The 23,671-nt window shown below is 37.7% G+C and overlaps 1 long non-coding RNA gene across 1 annotated transcript; it reads right to left on the bottom strand.

The window, feature by feature from the left end:
• Positions 1–6,596: 6,596 nt before the first annotated feature.
• On the bottom strand, positions 6,597–23,650 carry LOC105377879 (uncharacterized). The gene is made up of 3 exons (NR_136251.1): positions 23,373–23,650; positions 9,974–10,051; positions 6,597–6,763 (listed from the first exon to the last, which is right to left on the bottom strand). It is a non-coding gene; the product is annotated as an uncharacterized LOC105377879 (long non-coding RNA).

The following is a 23,671-nucleotide window of genomic DNA, read 5'->3' as shown; positions in this document are numbered from 1 at the left end:
CAAAGGAATGGAAATCATTCTACCAAAAGGACACTTACACTTCTATGTTTATTGCTGCACTACTCACAATAGCAAAAACATGGAATCAACCTAAATGCTCATAAATGGTAGACTGGATAAAGAGAAGGTGGTACATATACACCATGGAATACTACGCAGCCATAAAAAGAATGAGATAATGTACTTTGCAGGAACATGGATGCAGCTGGAGGCCATCATCCTTAGCAAACTAATGCAGGAACAGAAAATCAAACATCACATGTTCTCAGTTATAAGTGAAAGCTGAATGATGAGAACACATGGACACAAAGAGGGGGCAACAGACACTGGGGCCTACTTGAGGGTGGAGTGTGGGAGGAGGAAGAGGAGCAGAAAAATAACTATTGGTAATAGGCTTAGTACCTGATTGACGAATAATCTGTACAACAAACCCCCATGACATGAGTTTACCTATATAACAAACCTGCACAAGTACCCCCGAACCTAAAATAAAAGTTTAAAAATATAAAATAGATAGCTTTTTTTGCTATAAGAAATCCATCTATTTGATTATTTTGGATATAAAATTCATTGCCTAGTACACAATCTTCTGATTATAAGCTCTATTAAGGATACATTTTGTGCAGTATACTTTTGACAAATTACTTATTGACTCCTGAGACTCATGATCTGCTCTTAATAGGATAACTGCATGTTTTTTCTTTCCCTAGACTATCTATAAATGGCATTTTTTATTTTGCAAGTTTCGAGAAATGAAATATGCCAGATAATCAAATAGATGTTTCTTCATTTGTTTTATTTTGAAGAATTATAATATTGCTTTCTAATCTGTACCACTATCTTACATGCTTAATGATTAAGAAGACTTACTCCAATGATTTAACACTGCACAGAAACTTTCTAATAAATTTTAGTTAACAAGCTCCAGCCAGCTTGCTAGTGCTCTCAGGGCTCAAAACATGATACCCCAAAGTATGGCACATTGGCATGCTGAGTATTTTGAACTGAAGGAGATTGAAAGGCCTCAGAAGAAAATTTTCTATGACCTTCTCCTGCCCTCCTGTCTCTTTCCCCTTGTTTTCCCCAGAAACAGGTCATAGAAGCCAAAATTCCTCTTTCAAATTCAGTAGTAGACTTGATTATGACTTGAGTCATAGAAACTAGAACCTCTCTCCCTCAAAGCAAGCCATAAAGTCTAGAAAGGTCTTTCCCCTCTCCCTTTTCCCTTGAAGATCTTCATTCCAGAGGGGTGTTGTCCATACCTCAGAGGAAGGAATGCTACACAGACAGACCAAGGAAATCTGTACAGAAAGGCCTTGCTATGTTTCTCCCACCAGTCTATTATCATTAGATCATATCCTTTATCCAATCACATTCGTACATGGCTCTCCATTCTTCATTGAACCTACAACAGTTTTCCCTGGGCCTTTAGGTCTTCATTTCTGAGGCTCCTGTGTCACATAAAACTTAAATTAAATAAATTTGCTATGCTTTTTTCTTGTTAACCTGTCTTTTATTATAGGAGTGTTGATCGTGACCCTTATGATGAATGAGGACAGGGAGCATACCTTTCACCCATGCCGTGCCACAAGGGCAGGGCCCACTCTAATTGTTTACTACTCTACAACATCTAAAAATAAGTCTGGTACATAAAAGGAGATCAAAGAAGGCTTTTGGTATACATCCATTAGGGGAACTAGATAGCAAAATCCAATGTAGTTATGATTGACTCACTTAGCTCTCCCATCATTAGAGGCTCTTCTAGGACGAATGAGAATGTTCACTGGCCTATAAAAGCTTGAACCAAGGGTTCCACCTCAGTTTGGAGGCAAACCATGTGTTTTGCTCTGTGCTTTTAACTAGTTTCTGAAAAATCTAGTCTTCTGATAATGATATGATAAGTTAAATTGGAATGCAACAGAACTTCAATTCTGACAAAACTATTTGTTTTGTCATTGACCTGTACAAGCATGCCTTATAACTAATCTCAGGAATTAAAAAGGTCATCACAAGCCAAGGTTACTCTTTTCATCAAAATTATATTTGTAAGTCATTTTTAATGATATAGGAAAATACTTTTATTTCAAATAACATGGGAAAATTAGGATAGCATATAATCACAACTATTTTTTAATTATTAGAAAAATACACCAAGGAAAGACAGCAAAGTAACAACTGATTATCTTTGGATGGTAGGATTATTGGTAAGTATTTTTCTTATTTATACCTTCCTATATCTCACAATTTTTGAAAACAATAAATAGGTATTATTTGTGTAAGGAAAAAACCTTCATACTTAAAATGTTATAAAATCACTATTAATTTTTCATATATTTCATTTCTAGCTAATTGCTGCAATCACTTCTGTAGTTGAAGATGTATATTTTCATAAATTATTTGAATTAGAACATAATTCTGTTTGAAGAAATGTGTGTCAATGCTGTTATGAAAATAGAAAGAGGGCCTACACTAGAACTTTTCTCCAGAAAAAAAAAAGATAGACACTTGGAAATGCCAATGTATTTCTCTGAATTATATCTTTTAAAAATAAATGCATGTGAATATCTCATCTTTGTTCTATGTTTCCCCATATTAACCTGAATTCATTGTGAATATTAACTATAACTTCGTGTGGGTTTTTGGGAAGAATTTAAGATTACTTTTAAAAATTACTTTTAGAAAAGGAACAACAATTTGTGGTTGCTGAATGTTTCAGTTCCCAGAGTTGGAAATATCAGTTAAGTTTTAGAACAAATTCCCTTTGTTTTGGGAAATTCACCAGGATGGAACTTTTAATTACATAAAAGTACCTATCATTGTTTCTGGAGAAAATTGTGAAGTCTCCACAAATTTGGATGTAGTAATATAAATGGCTGCATTTTTAGGCAGACTATTGACTTGTAGAGTTAGACAACTGTTTTCCCAAAATATGGATACAAACAGAATGTCAGTGGCCTCCATATTAAGATTGAATTATCCAAAAACTTGGGAAGTACATTTTCACCCACTATGATTGCATCATCTAACCCTTGACAGTCAACCCACGCCTGGCTTCTTCTGCTAAAAGAACAGGTGCCTATTTTCAATATCAGTCTAGGTGGGGCAAGAATTGGTGGGCCTGGTCCTTGGGGCATTTCTGAAATATAGGACCAAAGAATAGGGGTCTTGAAGTGAAGGAACATGGAAATTTCTCCTTGGCTGGAGTAGTGTACTGGCGTCTAGACACCCAGGAATCTGCACAGAGCTAGGCTACAACCCCAACACTAGATTCTAATGTCCATGGTAAATCACTGAGGTACCAGAGTTTGTCTCCCAAACAGTAAAGCATCATTATCCCTCACTTTGCTGAGATTTGGAAAGTTTAAGAGAAAGGATATGTCTATACTGGGAACAAAGCAGTGTGTTGTGAACAGTGTCAGTTTTCACTTAGAAATGGCCAAAGGTGACTTGGAGAGTTCTGTAGGGCAGAGTGGCCACCAGGATGGGTTAGAAGGATGTGGTAGCATTCTCTAAGGATTCCCAGGAATACTTGAGGAGAGAAATCTTAGAAAGGAGATGCCAGATTTAAATAGTCTGGGCAAGTGGGAATCGCCAATCATTACGGCTTAAACAGTAAAAGTAATGTAACTCCAAGCTAGATAAGGGTCTGCTGTTTATGCCTGTATAATCTAGTATTTATAATATATTAAAACATAGTTTTGGACTTTTAGTCAATCAGATGCCAATTTTGAGTTCTCAGTTTAAGTTGTTAAAATGTGTTTAGCAAACGCTTAACCATAAATACCCTTCCACATTGTGTTTTCAACTCTACCTAATTTCTGATTTTTTTTCTCTTGACCTAAGAAATTATCACTCAATTCTTGTAAGTCTCATTGTTAGTTCTTTTTAAAAATGTTTTTAAATTATTATACTTTAAGTTCTGGGGTACACATGCAGAATGTGCAGGTTTGTTACACAGGTATACATGTGCCATGGTGGTTTGCTACACCCATCAACCTGTCATCTACATTAGGTATTCCTCCTAATGCTATCCCTCCCCCCGCCCCCCAACCCCCACAACAGGCTCTGGCGTGTGATATTCCCCTCCCTGTGTCCATGTGTTCTCATTGTTTCAACTCCCACTTATGAGTGAGAACATGTGGTGTTTTGTTTTCTCTTCTTGTGTTAGTTTGCTGAGAATGATGGTTTCCAGCTTCATCCATGTCCCTGCAAAGGACATGAACTCATCCTTTTTTATGGCTGCATAGTATTTATATATTCCTCTCCTCCAAGCTAACATTCCTTTTTTATTTATAAGGAGAGAATTCAGAGAACACATCTGTTTCAAAGAACAGACCAAGTCACTCCAAATAATAAGACAGGATAAGTCAACCTTATATTCCTGTTGGGCTTCAAGAGGCGTGCATATTGTTGTCAAAATCCTATGGACTCAGCACACTTCTGAGGAAAGTGGTCTGAATCACTGTCTCCTACATAAGCATCATGGCTCCCACCACGTGGTTTCAGTGAAAACAAACCTGCAACCATGGTCACCACCTCCAGGAGAGTCTAGCCCTCAGGTGGAGCCAGAGATAAATAGTGGCAAGTGTCCGAGAACCACTGAACCAGCAGAAGCATCCAGATTCCCTGTTCATGTTGTTTGACCAGATTGGCTTCCCTTCTCAATGAGCGAAGGAAGGGATCCTTCATTATTCTCCCACCAACACCTGTAGTCCAGGTGGCATCACCAGTCAGGCAGGGGACCAGGAGCAGACTCCATTTCTCTGCCTTATTACCAAACCGGGTAGTCTGGAAAGTCTGAAAAGTGCTGTTATTATTTTTATTTTGGAGGAAGGAGTGCATACAAGGGTTTTGTGGGTGGGGCAGGGGCAGTCCTGGGTCTGTAAGAACCCTGTATTTGCCTCTTTCCTTCCCTTCCCAGGGACTACAGCTGTCCTTACCAGGGAATATCCAGTCCAGTCCCTTAAGGCTGAAAGCTGGGCTCCAAATTGTCAGAGTGCAGTTCACTGATGGGGGTTCCAGGGCTGTGCCCAGAGACACAGAGGTCAGGGGCCTCTTGGCAGTACTATATCAGGGGAAATCCAACTCCAATCCAAGCAACCGGGAATCAGAAGCCACGTTGAGTAGGATGGCCAGCTGGAAGGATGGAGCAGGTGAGAGGGCAGAAGAGGATGGTGAGTGGCGAAAATGGACAGGCAGAGGGCAGCTCTTGGTGGGAGTGAGTGTGGCAGTTAGTCCCCATGGCCTGGTTAATTTCACTGGAAAATCTTTAATACTGCATGACTGCACCTGACATGAGTTATTCAAATGGTGGTGGTCCCTGGATCTGTGAGCCAGTGGCAGCTTTCCAGCTTTCCCTTTCTCTCTCTCTCTTTCTTTTTTTGGGAGTCTCACTCTGTCGCCCAGGCTGGAGTGCAGTGACGCGATCTCGGCTCACTGCGACCTCCAGCTCACGGGTTCGAGCAATTCTCCTGCCTCAGCCTCCCAAGTAGCTGGGACTACAGGCATGCACCAGTGGCAGCTTTCTAAGGCTCCTCAGGCTCACCCTGCAGGAAGCTGGCACATTTCTCACAGAACACAAAGGTGGCTGCTGCACAAACATGTGGACCAAGCAGGTACCTCCTCCTGGGGTCAGTAACAAGCTGGCTTGCCTCACAGTTAGGGACTGTAACTGCTGCCCATCCTGTGAAGTGTGGAATTCCACTTCTTCAAACGTCAGGATCCTTCAGGTGTGGAAAGAGCTTCATATCTGTGTGTCACTCCAATACTGCCCAGTCTTGTCTTTTTGGGGGTCCCATTAAGTCATTTCACATTCATTTTCGTTTTCCTCCCGCCTCGTTCTCACTTCCTGATAATTTTTTCTCTATCTTTATACTTTCCTTACTGATTCATTCCTTTCTTCTGTCAAGACACACTTTATTCCTACTAATGAACTGAAGGAGATCAGTCTGAATTTAGAGCACATAAAACACCAGGCCAAGAAACAAATCAGTGCACACTTAGAAGATCATTGCTACACTCACCTCAGTACCTCCATGCTTCCTGAATCCCAGGCTCTGTGGATGGGATCCAGGAATCTCCTATTGAAGCAAAACCACTACGTGAGTCTTGTAAACACTAGCGTTTGGACCTGCATCAACTCTGACTCCTCCCAGGGCAGGGTCTCTGTCCTTTTCACCTTCGTCATCCAGTGTTCGGGATAGTGTTTGGTTAAAAAGTAGGTGCTCATCAAATCAGTAGTGAATGAAATACTGAACTAATGAAAAAATGACAAAATTGAATAAATATTGAAGCCCCAGCCTTAGGTAAAATTGTAGAAGAGCAGATGTAGTCAGCTTTTTAGCCTATCATGGCTACCAAATTTTACCTGGCCTCCCAGTAGTTCCAATCCTTCCCTTATACTCTTCACTTCAGTAATCCTAATAGGAGGTTCTCTGAGTTCTTATCCCACAAACCAAACACTGTGTTTCTGTTCATTTCTTCTTTTTTTAAAAAAAAAATTTACTAAAAGTTAACTGCACATTACCTCATTCATTCACAGCCAGGGTGTCTGTGTCTTTTGTGTTGATAGCTCCTTAAAAAAAATAAATATTTGGTAATGGACAAGGGTAAATGAGTTTCTTCAGTGCATTCCCTCTCTTCTTCTGAGTTCTTGTGGATTCATCTGAATAGTGCCTTCAGAAGACAACACTATCCAATTTCTTCCCTCTAATTCCAAGGTGAAATTCAGATAATGAAAACTTCAGGCTCCCTGGCAAGTAACCTAAGCAAGAGAGGTTTGAAATTTATTGAATAAAATAAAATAGTTTATTTGTAGCCCGTGATATAAATAGGAAAATGGCCTTTTCATCTTTTGTTGTTGTGGTGGTAGTTTTTAAAAGAAACTACAAGTATGTTATTCTCAACATTTTTCACATATTTAAAACTAAACATTCATTTAATATTAATATGTTTAGTTTTTTAATTAACGGGTTTTTAATTGACAAAAATTTGCATTCATTTATCATGATGTTTTGAAATATGTATACATTATGAATGGCTAAATTGAGCTAAATTAATATTATGTTTTGTAAAATAAATTTTAAGCTTAAAAGCTTAAAATAATCTTTTCCTTTTAAAAAATTACTATTAAACTCTTATTACTTACCAAGTATTTTTTTTTTTTTTTGAGACACAGTCTTGCTCTGTTGCCCAGGCAGGTGTGCAATGGTGCAATCTCAGCTCACTGCAACCTCCACCTCCCGGGTTCAAGCAATTCTCCTGCCTCAGCCTCCCAAATAGTTGGGATTACAGGCGCATGTCACTGTGCCCAGGTAAATTTTGTATTTTTAGCAGAGACAGGGTTTCACCATGATGGCCAGGCTGGTCTTAAACTCCTGACCTTGTGATCTGCTTGCCTCAGCCTCCCAAAGTGCTGAGATTACAGGCGTGAGCCACCATGCCCAAAATTGTTTTTTTTTTTAATCTTTAGTTTGAGCCACCAAAATTTTAAATGTGATTTGCAATTTTAAAATTAGGTAAAGATATAACATTCTTTTATATATGCCTAATTCTTACATCACTTTTTCCTGCAGGACAAAATATAAGCCCACCTAAATATATGTAAGCTAAAATTTACCCTTGACAAATAATAACTGTGATATAAAAATAATTGAGCCAAATTACCAAAATTAAATATTTTAAAGGCAGTCCAAATCAAAGATAATAAGGAAATTAAAAGGCAGTTAAGATGTTGAAACAGTCTGGGATCACCAAGGTATCCCAGTGGAATGAACAATCAAGAGAGCTTATGGAATTTATTTCTCACGTCTTCACAAAAAGAAGAGATTCTCCCTATTATAGGATGGCTTAAATGGATTGTTGCCAGAAGGCAAGAGGATGTACTGCACTAGATAAACACTTAACAGCCTTTGGCTTTACAGTCCTTTATTCTTACCCAATCTTTCTATTCATGAGGTCCTGGTATTTCAAACTTGATCATTAGCTTATTTCTCTATTTTTCTGTAGTGTAAAAATACTTAGTTTTAATGTAGTTTCTAAGCTTTGGTGATATTCAAGTACATTTAAGTCAATAATTTATTTTACTTGAATAGGACCACATGGAAATTTGGTCCCTCTGAGCATGGTTTGAGGGCCTTCAGTTTCTGACCCTTTGACAGTGCTAGTTGACACTGGTTAATATTCTCCTGTTTTTTTTTTTTTTTTTAAATAAACCCAATAGGACTTAAATGTAGTTAAGATACTTCGAATAGAATAGTCTATATTTAAATTTTTATTTTGTTCAGGCTCCCATAGTAATAAATCCTAAGAGGAAGACAACATCCAGTGATATAAAAAAATTAGGAAAAGGGACTTGTAATTAATATAGAGGACACATGCATATCAGAGATGAACACATTTCAAGACTGAATATGTTCAATACAAATAAAAGATACAAATCTTTTATCTTAAGACAAAAAGGGGAAAAAGAAAATGAATCAGAGATCAGAAATGTATACCTGGTGATTTCAATAACAAGCATGCTGTATGGTCTCTTTTTACTTGCCTGGTCAGTTGTGAGTAAAAAAGATTTGCAGGGCTGAGGGGGTGCCACCACAGAGTGGCACTAAGATCCTTGCAGCCCAGTGTTCTGCTGCCAGAGAGCTGACAGGGGTTGCTGTGAGATATTGTGAAAAGTACTAATATAGAAGTGTAAGATATGGGTTTATGGGGGATGGACATCCGACTAGCTTGTGATGGGACAGGGGCAGTGGCTGAGGGTCTCAAAAGTCCTGCTTGAATACATTCTGCTGAAGGTGTAGACTTATTCCTGAAGTTAATGAGAATTTCCTGGAGAGTTTTAAACAGAAGAAGAGTGTGATCAGAGCCTCTTTTAGAGAATCCACTTTGGCCACAGTGCAGTAGATGTACCAGAGGGGAGTGAAAGTGAAAACAGGGACATAAGTTAAGAGGCTATCCAGGACAGAAATGGTAGAAGCCTGAGATAAGGCAGAGACAGGCAAAAAGCAAAACAGTGAAGAAGGGAACAGGGCCCCACTAACAGACTAGCTACCACCTGAAGCATTGCCAGGTACTGTGGCAAAGAGAAAGGCACTAATTGTGTAGTGACTCTTAAAGCTTCTTCCCAAAAGTAACATATCCTATATCCACTCACAGTTCATAATCCAAGGTCACATGACCATCCCCAACTTCAAGAGGGTAGGGAAGTGGATTTCTACCACATACCTAGTAGCAGAGAGAACCAAAATGTTTGGAGAAGCATCTAATAGCTACACTTCCTAGTCTATAATCATTACCTACGGAGACTCATTGCCAGCTATATATGGATTCATGAAAAGAATACACCTAAAAGAACTGCCTAAAGACCTTAAAGGTCTTTCAGTCTTGGCCATTTAATTTGTTGAAATATTAAGTTCAGTCAGGGAAAAAATACTTTTCACTTTTATTTTCCCACCCTAACCTTGGGTACATTCTCTTTTCTTAGCCCAGCTACATAAATCTCACCCCTTTTGAAGCATGGTTTAGTCATTCAATAGATACCGAGCATCTACCATGTAGTAGGTATTGGAGACACTGATGAACAAGGCAGACATCTCACAACATCCCTATCATCAAGGAGCTTAAAATCAGAAAAATTGAAACTAAGAAAATGATTACATGTTATTTACTTATGATTGTAATAAAGGATGGGAAGGCAAACATATTGTGCAATGAGAATGTAAGAACAGGGCAAAGTAGAGTAGTCAGCTAGTTGGGAAGTTGGTCAGGTAAAAGTCTGCGGAATGATTACAAGCAGAGGAAAGAAATGCTTGTGAGAAGGCCAAAAGGTAGGAAAGCCATTGGTACTCATGAGGTAACTGAAATAAATCCAGTATGGCTGAAGCAAAGTAATCAAGAGAAAAAGGCAAGGGGCTAGAGACTGAGGCTGAGGTGAGATCACGGAGGTAGTCATAGAACAACTTAAGGAGCTTACATATTATGCCAAATGCTGTAGGAGGTCATTGAAGAGTTTTTGGCAGGAGAATGACATCATCCATATAGAAAATGAGGGCTGTTCAGAAGGAAATTTACAAGAATAATTATTAATGTATTCTACGCAAAAGTGGCTTGTTTCTTCACCACCTTGTTTACTCAAATGTACCTCCTTCATGAGCACTCACTTTCAACCACCCCCTATCTAAGATTACATTTCCACTCCTCCCACACTAGCCCTCAGATCCTGCTTACTCTTTTATAAGAGCATTTGCCACTTTCTAATATTTTAGACAATTTTCTTATTAGTTTATTGTCTATACTCTTTTGCTAGAATTCTTTTTTTCCTAGAAAGTGCCTGGCATATGGGTCTTCAACAAATATTTGTTAAATTAATGTCATATCACATTATGATTTAAAGCTGGGTTGTAAGATGATTTATCTATCAGTGTTTATGGCTTAATATATTTAGTTTAAAATACCTATTTCCTTAATATATGGCTCTTAGGCAAAACACATACTGTGATTTAATTCTTATTCTTATTTATTGTTATTATTTTTTTAGATGGAGTTTCACTCTTGTGGCCTAGGCTGGAGTGCAATGGCATCATCTCGGTTCACTGCAACCTCCGCCTCCCGGGTTCAAGTGATTCTCCTGCCTCAGCCTCCGGAGTAGCTGGGATTATAGGTGCCTGCCACCATGCCTGGCTAATTTTTGTATTTTTAGTAGAGACAGGGTTTCACCACGTTGGCCAGGCTGGTCTCGAACTCCTTACCTCAGGTGATCCGCCTGCCTCGTCCTCCTAAAGTGCTGGGATTACAGGCGTGAGCCACCGCGCCTGGCCGATTTAATTCTGAAATACGAAAATTGCTCTTGCAGCAGAAATTCATCACAGGCTTATTAAGGCTTATGGAAAAGTGTTTTTAGTTGGTAGAATATCCAAGCTTTGAGCAAATTTTAGGAAGAAAGTTTATGAAATGTGGTCAAGAATCATGAGTCACAGTGTGACAGATTAGCTATTTTACAATGTGGCTACATATACCTATCAAAATGTACTGCTGTGCTAACAAAATTGTAGTATTTTCACAGCACAGCAGTGATTAACTCTATAAACCTACTTTTGAACAATTATTGTAGCCTCACTTGAAGGTATTTTAAGGACTCATATGCAGTTGGCAAATTACAGCTTGTGACAATGCCTAGAATTCCTTGGAGTAAAGCCATTTGATTTGCAAAAAATAAATAAATAAATAAATAAGTCAGGTAGTGTCCTTTTCATTTCTCTGTGTATCTGACTCATATAATCAGAGGTTCCTGATTTATTTCAGAAATTAAATTTTCCAAAAAATTAATTTCCATTGCCAATGTTGTTACTACCCATGATTTCACATTCATTCATTTATTAAATTCATTTATTAGGCATATACTAAGTTTTACAATTGTGCTAGATGTTGGTCCATTTATTCATTAGCTCACTCATCAAACATATCTGTACTGAGGAGAGGCACAAATTTTAAGAGGTAAAATGAGACAGTTGCATAGTCAGTAAATTCATTCATCTATAAAAATTGAGAAGGCTTAGGTAAATAAAGGAAGACATTTGCTTTTTATAAAAAGAACACATCCAATTAGCACCAGTTTCAAAAGTTATTTTTGCTGTAGTTAATGCTGAAAGATGGGATTGTGATTAAAATTATTTGTGTTAAACATATATAGATATATTAAACCAAATATAAACACCAGAAAGTAATTATATTATTTGAATTTTATGTTTAACACTATAAGGAAATATGTTTGCATATTATTAACACTCTACTTTCTAGACCACTTGAATACAGCTTAAACATGAAACTATAGTGCAAGATAATAAGACTAAAATGGCAGAATTCTTGCTACCTTCATTTCCTGCCTCTGCACCCTTTCTTAGAAATGGGACTACCTTATTCATACTTGCAGGATCTATGCTATTCCAAGTCAAATCTAAGCCTCATACAAGCCAGGTAGTATTTAAGAATGACCTTTAAGTCTTGTTCTAGATTTTTTTCTTACCAGCACTCCTCCCACTCAAGTTGGAGTCCTGCCCCTGCCCCTAGTTTGCTGACTGGGCTGTGCTTCCTCATGGCAGATTTGCCTGGATAACCAACTACTGCCTTTTGGCTCTCTGCTTGCTATGGCTAACAAACACCAATTATTTTCTGGAATGTTGAAGTTATCTTCATATATGCAATTTGGGCTTGGGCACCTGCACCTTGAACCCCGGAGGTAGGCTGAGGTCTGCATCTCATTTTTTTCATTTTTTCATAGCTGGGCCCCCCTAAATGAAGCATCAGAGTACATGCTTTCGGCAACAGTTAAAGCAATCTATTCTACATATTCTTGTTCATAGTTATAAAAATTAGACATAGATTGTGTTAGAATATTTTTCCACACATGTAACAAGATTCATTACCCCAAGATATCATCCACATTATGATGGTAGCTAAAGTTAGTTAATTTCTCAAATGATTCTGCGAATTGCTGTTCTTCCGGAAGTTTCCATGTAGGAAGAAACTTGCTAACTGTGGAATGAGTACTTATCTACAGACCAGATTTCAGACAAGCCTCTGTCACTTAGCCCTACCCACAATCATGACATGTCATCTACTCTGTGGAGCTAAAATACATAGTGCATTATTTGATGATAGGTACTTTGGTTTCCTGAATCAAGGAGGCCAAGATTAAACTGACAAACTGACAAAGTTTAATCTTGAGTCAGTAAAGTATCAAGCTCCAGAGGTATGTGTTCAGCTTTCCAGATGATAGTGACACTTAAAGCTATCATAAATGTCATATCCAGCTTTTGAAATGGTCACTATGAGGAGCCAAGTGGCAAAAAACTATCTGGCAATGAGTTCTGTGACTGTTGCCAGTTCCCTGTCATGAAAACGATTCCCTGTACATACAGCTGTATGGGATGAAGCAAATGAGAATAAGGATATGGAAATACCTCCAGGATGGCCAGGTGAAGCTCAGACAACTGCTACTAGAAAAAACACAAGAGATATTTTAAGAACTTAACTGATGCCTAGTAAGTGGCAAGGCTGCTGGGAGATTATAACCCCTGAAAGACGAAGTACTTAAGCAGACATAATTACCTTTAAGGGCTTATAAGCAAGAAATTGTGTGTCTAAGGTGGGCTGCAAATAGAGGCAGCCATATAATCCATTACTATAGTTGGAAATCAATCAACAATATTTATATACACAGTTCAGAATGGACCATGGCTTCCTAATACAGATCATGTGACAATGGCAATCAATAACATTTCCAAATGCAACCAGCAATAAATCATGCAGCTGCTAAATAATGTCCCTCACTGGATAGCATCAGGCTAAGGGCTAAAACCCCCAACAAAACTTCAAAGAAACAAAAATCAGTATTTGTTACTTCAGCTATAGGTATGTCTTGAAAATTTTGTGGATTATTAATAAGAAATACTTTGATATCCCTAATAAACATTGTTGCATAAATAATACATTTATCCACTTGTTTGATCTATATTTTACTACTTTTGCCCATGAAATGGAAATTTCAGAATTTTATTGTAATGCCAATGTCTGTTTTTTGTTTTTTTGTTTTTTTTTTTGAGATGGAGTCTTGCTCTGTTGCCCACACTGGAGTGCAATGGCACAATCTCAGCTCACCGCAACCTCTGCCTCCTGGGTTCAAGCAATTCTCCTGCCTCAGCCTCAAGAGTAGCTGGGATTACAAGCACACACCACCATGCCCGGCTAATTTTTGTACTTTGGTAGAGATGGGATTTCACCATGTTGTCCAGGCTGGTCTTGAACTCCTGGCCTCAAGTGATCCGCTCTCTTTGGCCTCCCAAAGTGCTGGGATTACAGGCACAACGTCTGTTCTTTTTTATCAGCAAAATACTGAGCGAACTTGACAGGGGCTGTAGAATAAAGTGAGTAACAATGGAAACAAATTTGTCTCTCCATATCTACCAGATATAAGAAATGCACCATTTACACTGACATGGGTGTCATAAACCAAATGTGCATCTCTGATAATGCTCACCAAAAAGCATCTGATACAGGGACAAAAGAAGGATCCAAGCCCATGAGAGACGATGCCAGAGAATTTCTTGAGTTTTGTTTTTATGAATATGTTTAAAATCATTCACAATGAAAACAGAATTAACCCAGTTTTAGGCTGAATGAGACAAAATGTTAAGATGAAGACATCTGTTAATAGTAACAGCCATACACTCGGAGAAATACAACAATTAACTCACTCTTAAGTTTCTCCATGGGAAATCGTTGGCATTATTCTAGCATTATTCTAATTTATTTTCCAACGTAAAAGTGAAAGGTGATTCTCAGCTGAAAACTTTCTCCAAACTAACGTTTTACAAGAAAGAATATTATATATTTTGTTTTATTATGATTTATTTGGGGGCTTATTTGGGAACTTTCTGATGTGTGGCTAGCATAATTCAAGTACAGTATTTGAACAAATTGCAAATGTATACTCTACTAATTATCTGAACCTCCCACAACAATGTTCTGTGCTGTGTATGACTCCTGACTGTCTGAAGCATAAGTCCTTGGACAAAAGAAAGTACTTGAGGTAAATTAAAAAAGAAATTCAATATCGTTAAATGCATTATGCTCTAGAAAGAGTAAGGCTTTACTTGTTCTAGCCAAAATTAGTTTAAACAGTAACACAGCAGTTCATTCTCATCTGGTTATACTGAATATCAAATAGCCTAAACTTTCCATTTCTCTTTAATATTCTTGTTACTAGAAATTGTTGACTATAAAGACCTATATATATGTGTGTGTATATATGTACATATATGTATATGCGTGTATATATCTACATATATGTATATGCGTGTATATATGCACATATATGTATATGCGTGTATATATGTACATATATGTATATGCGTGTATATATGCACATATATGTATATGCGTGTATATATCAACATATAAGTATATGCGCGTATACATGTACATATATGTGTATGTGTATATATGTACATATATGTGTATATACGTGTATATATGTACATATATGTGTATATACATGTGTATATGTACATATCTGTATATATGTATATGTGTATATACGTGGTATATACACGTATATACACATATATACATATGCGCATATACGTACATATATGCACATGTGCGCATATACGTACATATATGTACATATGCGCATATACGTGTATATATGCACATGCGCACACGTGTACATGCATGTGCATATGGGCATATGTGTACACATGTGTACATGTGTGTACATATGTGTGCGTGTGTGTACGTGTGTGCATGTGTGTATATATGTGCATAGGTGTACATGTGTGTATATAGTGTACATGTGTGTATATATGTGCATATATGTATGTGTATATATGTACACATATATGTATATGTGCGTATATGTACATATATGTATATGTGTGTATATAGGTGTATATGTGTATATATACGTATATATGTATATGTGTACATACGTATATACGTATGTGTGTATACACATATGTATGTGTGTATACACATATGTATGTGTGTATACACACATATACGTATATGTGTGTATATATGTACATATATGCGTGTGTATATATGTACATATATGCATATGTGTATATATGTACATATATGCGTATGTGTGTATATATGTACATATATGCGTATGTGTGTATATATGTACATATATATGCGTATGTGCGTATATATGTACATATATGTATATATGTGTACACACATTTATATACATGTAAGTAAGTAGCTGGGCACGGTGGCTCACACTTGTAACCCCAGCACTTTGGGAGGCTGAGGTGGGCATATCATGAGGTCAAGAGATTGAGACCATCCTGGCAAACATGGCGAGAACCCACCTCTACTAAAAATACAAAAATTAGCTGGGTGTGGTGGCACGTGCCTGAAATCCCAAATACTTGGGAGGCTGAGGCAGGAGAATCGCTTGAACCTAGGAGGCGGAGGTTGCAGTGAGCCGAGATCGTGCCACTTTACTCCAGCCTGGCAACAGAGCAAGACTCCGTCTAAATCAAAAACAAAAACAAAAACAAACCACTATATATCTATATATATCTCATTTATTTTTTGCATGAGAATTTTTGAAGTGATGAGTAATGTGTATGTTTTAGATACACAATTTGAAGGAGTATGAGAAATACCAGCTCTTCTCACAGTCCACTGCTGTGTTCCTGGAGCTGCACAAAGACAAATGCATGTGGCTTCTGTGATCCTCGTGCAATGAAGTATCAAGTAAAGTCAGTGTCATTTTTCCTAAGCAACTTCAAATATAAATTGAGCTGTAGACAAACACAAACAGCAACCTAAAATACAGGAGCAAGTTAAAGAATGAGAGGAAAACCTGGAGATACACAGTTGAAGGTGAGGCACACTGCTTCGGCTCTCCTATGCCCTTGAGTTAGAAGTTTCCTTGGGAAACTTCCTTCTTCAGACAGACTTTCCTGATTAATCTTCTCCTTTCTCACAGCAAAATCTTCTCACTCCAAAGAATTCTCTTGCAATCATCTTTTTCAATTAATAAAAAGGAAATAACAAAATGCTGTTCATAACAGTATTGCTGTACAATGTCTATTTGCATATGTATATATGTTTTATTTTATTTTATTTTATTATTTTTGAGATGGAGTCTTGCTCTGTCGCCCAGGCTGGAGTGCACTGGCACAATCTTGCCTCACTGCAACTTCCATCTCCCGGGTTCAAGAGATTGTCCTGCCTCAGCCTCCCGTGTCGCTGGGATTACAGGCGCCCACCACCACACCCAGCTAATTTTTTTTTTTTTTTGTATTTTTAGTACAGATGGGGTTTCACCATGTTGGCCAGCCTGGTGTCGAACTACTGACCTCAGGTGATCTGCCCGCCTTGGCCTCCCAAAGTGCTAGAATTACAGACATGAGCCACCACGCCCAGCCATATATATGTTTTCTACTCTAGTTTCCTGAAATTAATAGAAGCTTGATACTCTCCATGATAATATTGAAGTAACATGATTTCACATCTCAGGAGCTAGGTAAATTATTAATTTATTTTCTCACTTTAAAGATGATACTAGTAAAATAATATTTCAATCAGAGAACTATATACACTTGAGTTGTAGTTCCAAATAATAAAATAAAAATGAAAATATAGTAATATATTAATAAAATCAGTCTATCAACAATTACAGAGTATTATCAGTTGCAATTATTAGGCTTTTATTGCATGCCAAACACTGTGCTATTGGCTTTATTTGCATTACCTCATTTGATAGTAACAGCAATCTTTGAGGTGGATATTATGGATCAAGCACATTTTACAGATGAGGAAACTCATCCTTAAGGGCTACAAACCTTGCCCAAAGTCACACAGCTAGTAAGGACCAACGCTAGGGAATCAAACCAGGGCTTGTTTACTTCTATAACCTAAGATATTAGCCACCATCCTTCCAGCCCATAAATTTTAAAAAGGATTTTTTTTTTTACTGAAGAATTAATTAGTATGAAATAAGAGTCTAACATCATACTGTTATACCTTTATCAGAAGCAATGAATGCAGTGGAAAGAACACTGGATTGGATGTTCAACAACGAAGTTTAGGATTGGTTATGCTGTTATCTCACTGTGTGTGATGATGAGAAAGTCACTTAAACTCTCTAGTCTTACATTTTCTCATATATAAAAAGAAGGGACTAAAATAGAGGCTTTGGGAAAGATTTGCAGATCATGTACAGCTTGACCACAATCTTGTAGGAATTCACTTGTGATATGGTTTGGCTGTGTCCCCACTCAAACCTCATCTTGAATTGTAGTTCCCATAATCCCCACATGTTGTGGGAGGGACCTGGTAGGAGGTAACTGAATCATGGGGATGGTTGTCCCCATGCTGTTCTCATGATACTGAGTAAGTTCTCATGAGATCTGATGGTTTTATAAGGGGCTTCCCCCTTCGCTCAGCTCTCATACTTCTTTTCCTGCCGCCATGTGGAGAACGACGTGTTTGCTTCCCCTTCTGCCATGATTGTTAAGTTTTCCGAGACCTCCCAGCCATGCTGAACTGTGAGTCAATTAGACCTCTTTCCTTTATAAATTACCCAGTCTTGGGTATGTCTTTATTAGTAGCATGAGAACAGACTAATATGACTTGCTACATAATAAAGAATATTTCAACGGAGGAAATAATTCAATGTGTTATTTTAATTTATGTTAAAATAATTTTCCACTCCTACACACAAATGTGACATCTTCACCCAAACTCAAAAGCAATTCACAACAAAAAGCAAATTATGGTATCCTGAATGCACTTGAGCAGAGACAAAAAGCTTGCTTCTCTTTTATAAGACAACAAATGAAAAAGACCATAAAACTGATGAACACCCTAGTGTAGCAAGAAAAATTGTAGCTTGCACAAAATATCAGTAAGATTGAGATTCAAACAACTCGATTATCTTAGGGAAGTATAACATTCATCCATGAAACCATTCAAGTTTCTTAAGAATTACAGTTAATGAAGTATATTCCAAGCCAGAACAAACATATTTACTAAGTTTTGTTTTGCCTAAAATTCAGGTTAGAAATGAATTCAACATGACAACTGGCATGATAAAAGGAACATGTACATTTTACATGCCTAATGGCACAAAAACAATTTAAGTATGTTATTTTCATTTGCTTCCCAGTTTTAAATCTATTGTCTATTGCTGTATAACAAACTTTGTGGCATACAACAGCAAATTTTTATTCTTTCTCACAATTTTGTGAGTGAATAGGACTCTGCTGGGTAGTTCTCCTTTGAAGTCTTTTATGTAGTTGCAGTCAGGTGACAGCTGGTCTGTAGTCATTGGAATTCTCCTCTGGGCTACCTGAGATGGCTTATGCACTTTGACATCTGGCAGATGAAACTGGCTGTTTAAATGAGAGTTGGGCTGGGGTTTTGACCAGAGCACCTACGCAGGGCATCTCTGTGTGTTTGGGCTACTCATGTAGAGTGGTTCAGGGTAAACACATTTCTTACACGGTGGCTGGCTTCCAAGAGGGAACATCCCAAGTTGGAATGTTCTAAGAAACATAGGTGGAGGCTATAAGGTTTCTTATGACCTAACTGCCAAGCATCAGTCTGTTGTATTTTATTGATCAAAAGCAAGTTACAGAGACAGCTCAGATGCAAAGGGAGGAGATTTATTGGGGGACTAACTACCACAGTGACACACAAAAGTAAACCTTTGTGACGAATCCACAGAAACCTCTGAGAGGTATAAAGTTAAGTCTTTCATACAAGATTCATTGAATAAGAATCAGGGTGGTTATTCTTGTACCAATGTGTTTTTTTCTACTTTGACAGAAAAGCATTCCTGGAATGAAATTCACCCTATAGTTTTACCTTGAGAATATTATAGATTTAGGAGAAAGGTATAAATTTTCTAATTTCACCTCAGGTTGTTATCTGAGCCAATCAAATTATCTTCAGCTTTATTTTTCTCTGTTTCTTGTACACGTGTTGTATCTTACAAATAAATTGAAATCAAGAACTTGAAGACACTTGCCCTCGTGCTGAAATAAATTGTTGGTCTACGTGTAATTATTGTTGGCTTGATTTTTCTGTATTAAATCTGATACTCAGAAGAAAACATGTGTATTACATCAGAGACTTAGCTGGGTATGGTGGCTCACACCTGTAATCCCAGTGCTTTGGGAGGTCAAGGCAGGAGTATCACTTAAGGCCAGGAGTTCAAGACCAGCCTGGGCAATAAAATGAGACCGTCTATACAAAAAGTAAATAAATAAATAAATCAGAGACTTACAAAAAATCTGTTTAGTAGCATATATGCATTTATGTATATTGGCCCAGAAAATAAATTCAATTTTTTTTTTTTTTTTTGAGACGGAGTCTCAGGATGGTGTGCAGTGGCATGATCTCAGCTCACTGCAACTTCTTGAAGTGATTCTTGGGACTCAGCTTCCCCAGTAGCTGGGACTACAGGCACACACCACCATGCCCGGCTAATTTTTTGTATTTTTAGTAGAGGCGGGGTTTCACCATGTTGGCCATCCTGGTCTCAAACTCCTGACCTCAAGTGATCTGCTGTCCTCCACCTCTTAAAGTGATGGGATTACAGGAATGAGCCACCGCGCCAGCCTCAATATGTATTTTTAAAAAGCAGTTTGGGGTGTTTATTATAATTACCCTATTTTCTGACCACTGAGATCAAAGATATTTCAACTTGTAAAATATTAAATGTCAATTCTTATTCTTGCCTAAGATTTATTGAATATCATTTATTACGTTCCTGTGCCTTCAAAGAGAACATGTCAACAAGTAATTTTTTATCTCAATATATTTCTTTCTTTTAGTCTATTTTCTTTCTTTCACTTTAGTATATAACATTCATGGATGTAACTCTAGATTTTCCTGGCTGTAAGAAGCCAGCATCTCCAAATCTTTGCTACTGAAAATATGCTACTATTTTCAACGCTCATTAAGATCTTCCAAAACAACCCACATTTCATATATTGGTTCCATCCTTGACATTATTTATTGATTATTTATTATAAGAATATGATACTTCTATAGTTGAGGGATTTTCAAACATTCTGCTAACACTATGTCAGGATGTTTATGTGTGGGATATTCTCCCATGTATAGTACCAGAGACATGGGTAGCATACCAAGAATAAGCTCTGGCTTCAAATACTTCCCAGTGTATTGTATGTAACTGCACACTATTATAGGATTGACTTTGAATCCATTCCAATCTATTTTGAAAAATAAATCATTCACAGATTGCATTATTTTAATTATTATTGGAAACATGTTATTTGCTCAAAACCTCTTAACTAATAGCAACATATGTGACATTACATCATTATTGGACTGTTGGAGAACCATTATTTTATACTACTTCCTCATTTTATGTAAATTGTCCAACTTATTGCACAATGTTGTTTATAACATTCTCTAATTTTTTAATGTCCATAGAATTGATTTCTCCTTTCACTCCTAAAATTGGAAATTTTTGCCATCTTATTTTTTCCTTGCTCAATCTGGCTAGTGGGGTTATCCATTTTGTGATCTTTTCCAAAAAATGGCTTTTGGTTTAATTGATTTTATCTATTATTTGTCATTTTCTCTTTCATTGATTTGTACTCTTTATTACTTCCTTCTTTCTGCTCATGTTGAATTCAATTTATTCTTTTTCTAGTGTCTTAAGGTTCAAACTCAAATAAATATTTTTAGATCTTTCTTCATTCCTAAGCATTTTAATGCTATAAATTTGCCTCTAATCACCACTTTGCCTGCAACCCACAAATTTTGATATGTTGGATTTTCATTATTATTTAGTTCAAATAAATTTCCAATTTTCTTATGAGAAAATTAGACCTATGGGTTATTTGGAATGTGTTGTTTAATTACCAAATATTTAGAGATTTCCATATATCTATCTGTCACCGATTTTTAGTTAAATTCCACTGTGGTAAGAGAACATAATGTGTATGATTATAATCCTTTTAAATTTATTGAGACTAGCTTCATGGCTTAGGATCAGTCAGTATGGTCAATCCTGGAGAATATTCCATGCACACTTTAAGAAAGTATTCCACTACTGTTGGGTGGACTATTTTATAAATGTCAATTAGGTGAAGTTGGTCTGCAGGACTATTTCTTTCTTTTTTTTTTTTTTTGTGAGACAGAGTCTTGCTCTGTCACCCCAGCTGAAGTGCAGTGGCGCGATGTCCGCTCACTGCAAGCTCCGCCTCCCGGGTTCACGCCATTCTCCTGCCTCAGCCTCCTGAGTAGCTGGGGCTACAGGCACCCACCACCACGCCCAGCTAATTTTTTTTTTTTTTTGTATTTTTAGTAGAGACGGGGTTTCACCGTGTTAGCCAGGATGGTCTTGATCTCCTAACCTCATGATCTGCCTGGCTCGGCCTCCCAAAGTGCTGGGATTACAAGCATGAGCCAACCGCGTCCGGCCTACAGGGCTATTTCAAGTCATCTATACCCTTACAGGTTTCCTGTCTACTTGTCCTATTTATTACATAGAGAAAAGTGCTGAAATCCTGAAGTATAATTGTGGATTTGCCTGTTTCTCCTTTTAATGCTATTAGGTTTTGCTTCGTCCTACTTTGAAGCTCTGTTCTTAGATATACAAACAAGTAGAATTGTTCCATGCTCTTAATGAATTTTTCATTATGAAATGTGCCTGTTTATTGCTATTAATATTCCTTATTGTAAAACCTACTTTGATATTAATATTGCCACTCCCAACTCTATCAGATTATATTGAGGTATAATTAACAAACAACAAAATTCGCCAATTTTAAGTGTACAAATTGATGAGTTTTGAGAAATACATGCAGCTGTATAATCATCATCACCGTCACGATATAAAACATTTCCATCTCTCCAAAAAGTTTCCTTCTGCCCCTTTGCAGTCCCCTCCCCCAATGCCACCGTCACCTGACTCGGCACCTGATGTGTTTTCTGTTTCTATAGTTTTGACTTTTCCAGAATGTTACATAAATGAAATCAAAATAATAAGTAGAATTTTTGATAGAGCTTCTTTCCCTTCGTCTAATGAATTTGAGATTCATGAATGGTATTAGTTTGTTTCTTGTTATTGCTAAGTAGTATTCCATTATGTGGATATACCATATTTTGTTTATTCATTTACTAGTAGAATAACATTTGGCTTTCCTCCAGTTTGGGGCCATTATATTAAGCTGCTATAAAACTGGAGTACAAGTTTTTTTAATAGAATTGCGTTTTTATTTCCCTTGTAAATATGGTAAGACTAGTACTTGAGACAATAGTGCTCTTAAGCTGTCTCTCTTTAGTCATTAAGCTTCCAATTAGTCCTAGAATCAGTCTCAGTAGTTAGGAAATCATGACTGCATACTGAACACTGTACCAGGTGAAAGAGAGGAATATATAACAAAACGTTGAGATCGATAGGTATCGATATATGGCTTCAAGGCCGAGCAGAAGCCACCCGAAGCAAGGAGAAAAAATGCCAGGAAAGCTCACAAATATAGTTTTGATCTTCATGCTACTGTGAGAATTAAAAAAAAAGGTGAACATAAATAACAACCTTTGAAAATGTCAACACGTGAAGCTATTAACCAACTCCACATCCCTGTTTAGAAATTCCTGCTTACTATTCGAATATACACTTGACATACAATTGACGGACGTTCCAACACTATATTTAATTGGCAGAAATTACTTCTTAAGGGTACAAAGGGTTTTCTTTATGCACGCAAATGATTACTGTCGAAGGTAATCTGGGACTCGATTAACGGCTGTGTTAATTATTCTCCCTTCAGCAGACCTCAGTATCCGTTTAAGACTAAAGTGGCTAGAATTACCTGCCCACCCGGGCTCCCAGTTGTAACTGAGACAAGCGGAGGAGCCTGAGGAGCTGAAGACGCACAGGTGACGGTCGCGGATGGCCGGCAGGATCTGACATTTAAAATCGCCCTGCTCATCTGGGCCTCGGAGCCTTTGACAGGCGGGCGTGTCAGCGACAGTGTGGGGAAGGGGCTGGGCTCCGCCAGGCAGCGCGCGACGACGCCCTTGCCTTGGCCTTCACAGAGTAGAACCCGAGAAGCCCACTCGCCCGTCTTGGCCAACGCCCCCAACGCCCAGGGCTCCCCCCGCAGTCGGC

The sequence above is a fragment of the Homo sapiens genome, chromosome 6, assembly GCF_000001405.40.
Source record: "Homo sapiens chromosome 6, GRCh38.p14 Primary Assembly".
Classification (NCBI taxonomy): Eukaryota; Metazoa; Chordata; class Mammalia; order Primates; family Hominidae; genus Homo; species Homo sapiens.
Note: the sequence above shows the minus strand (reverse complement) of the source record. Positions and strands in the feature narration are given on the sequence as shown.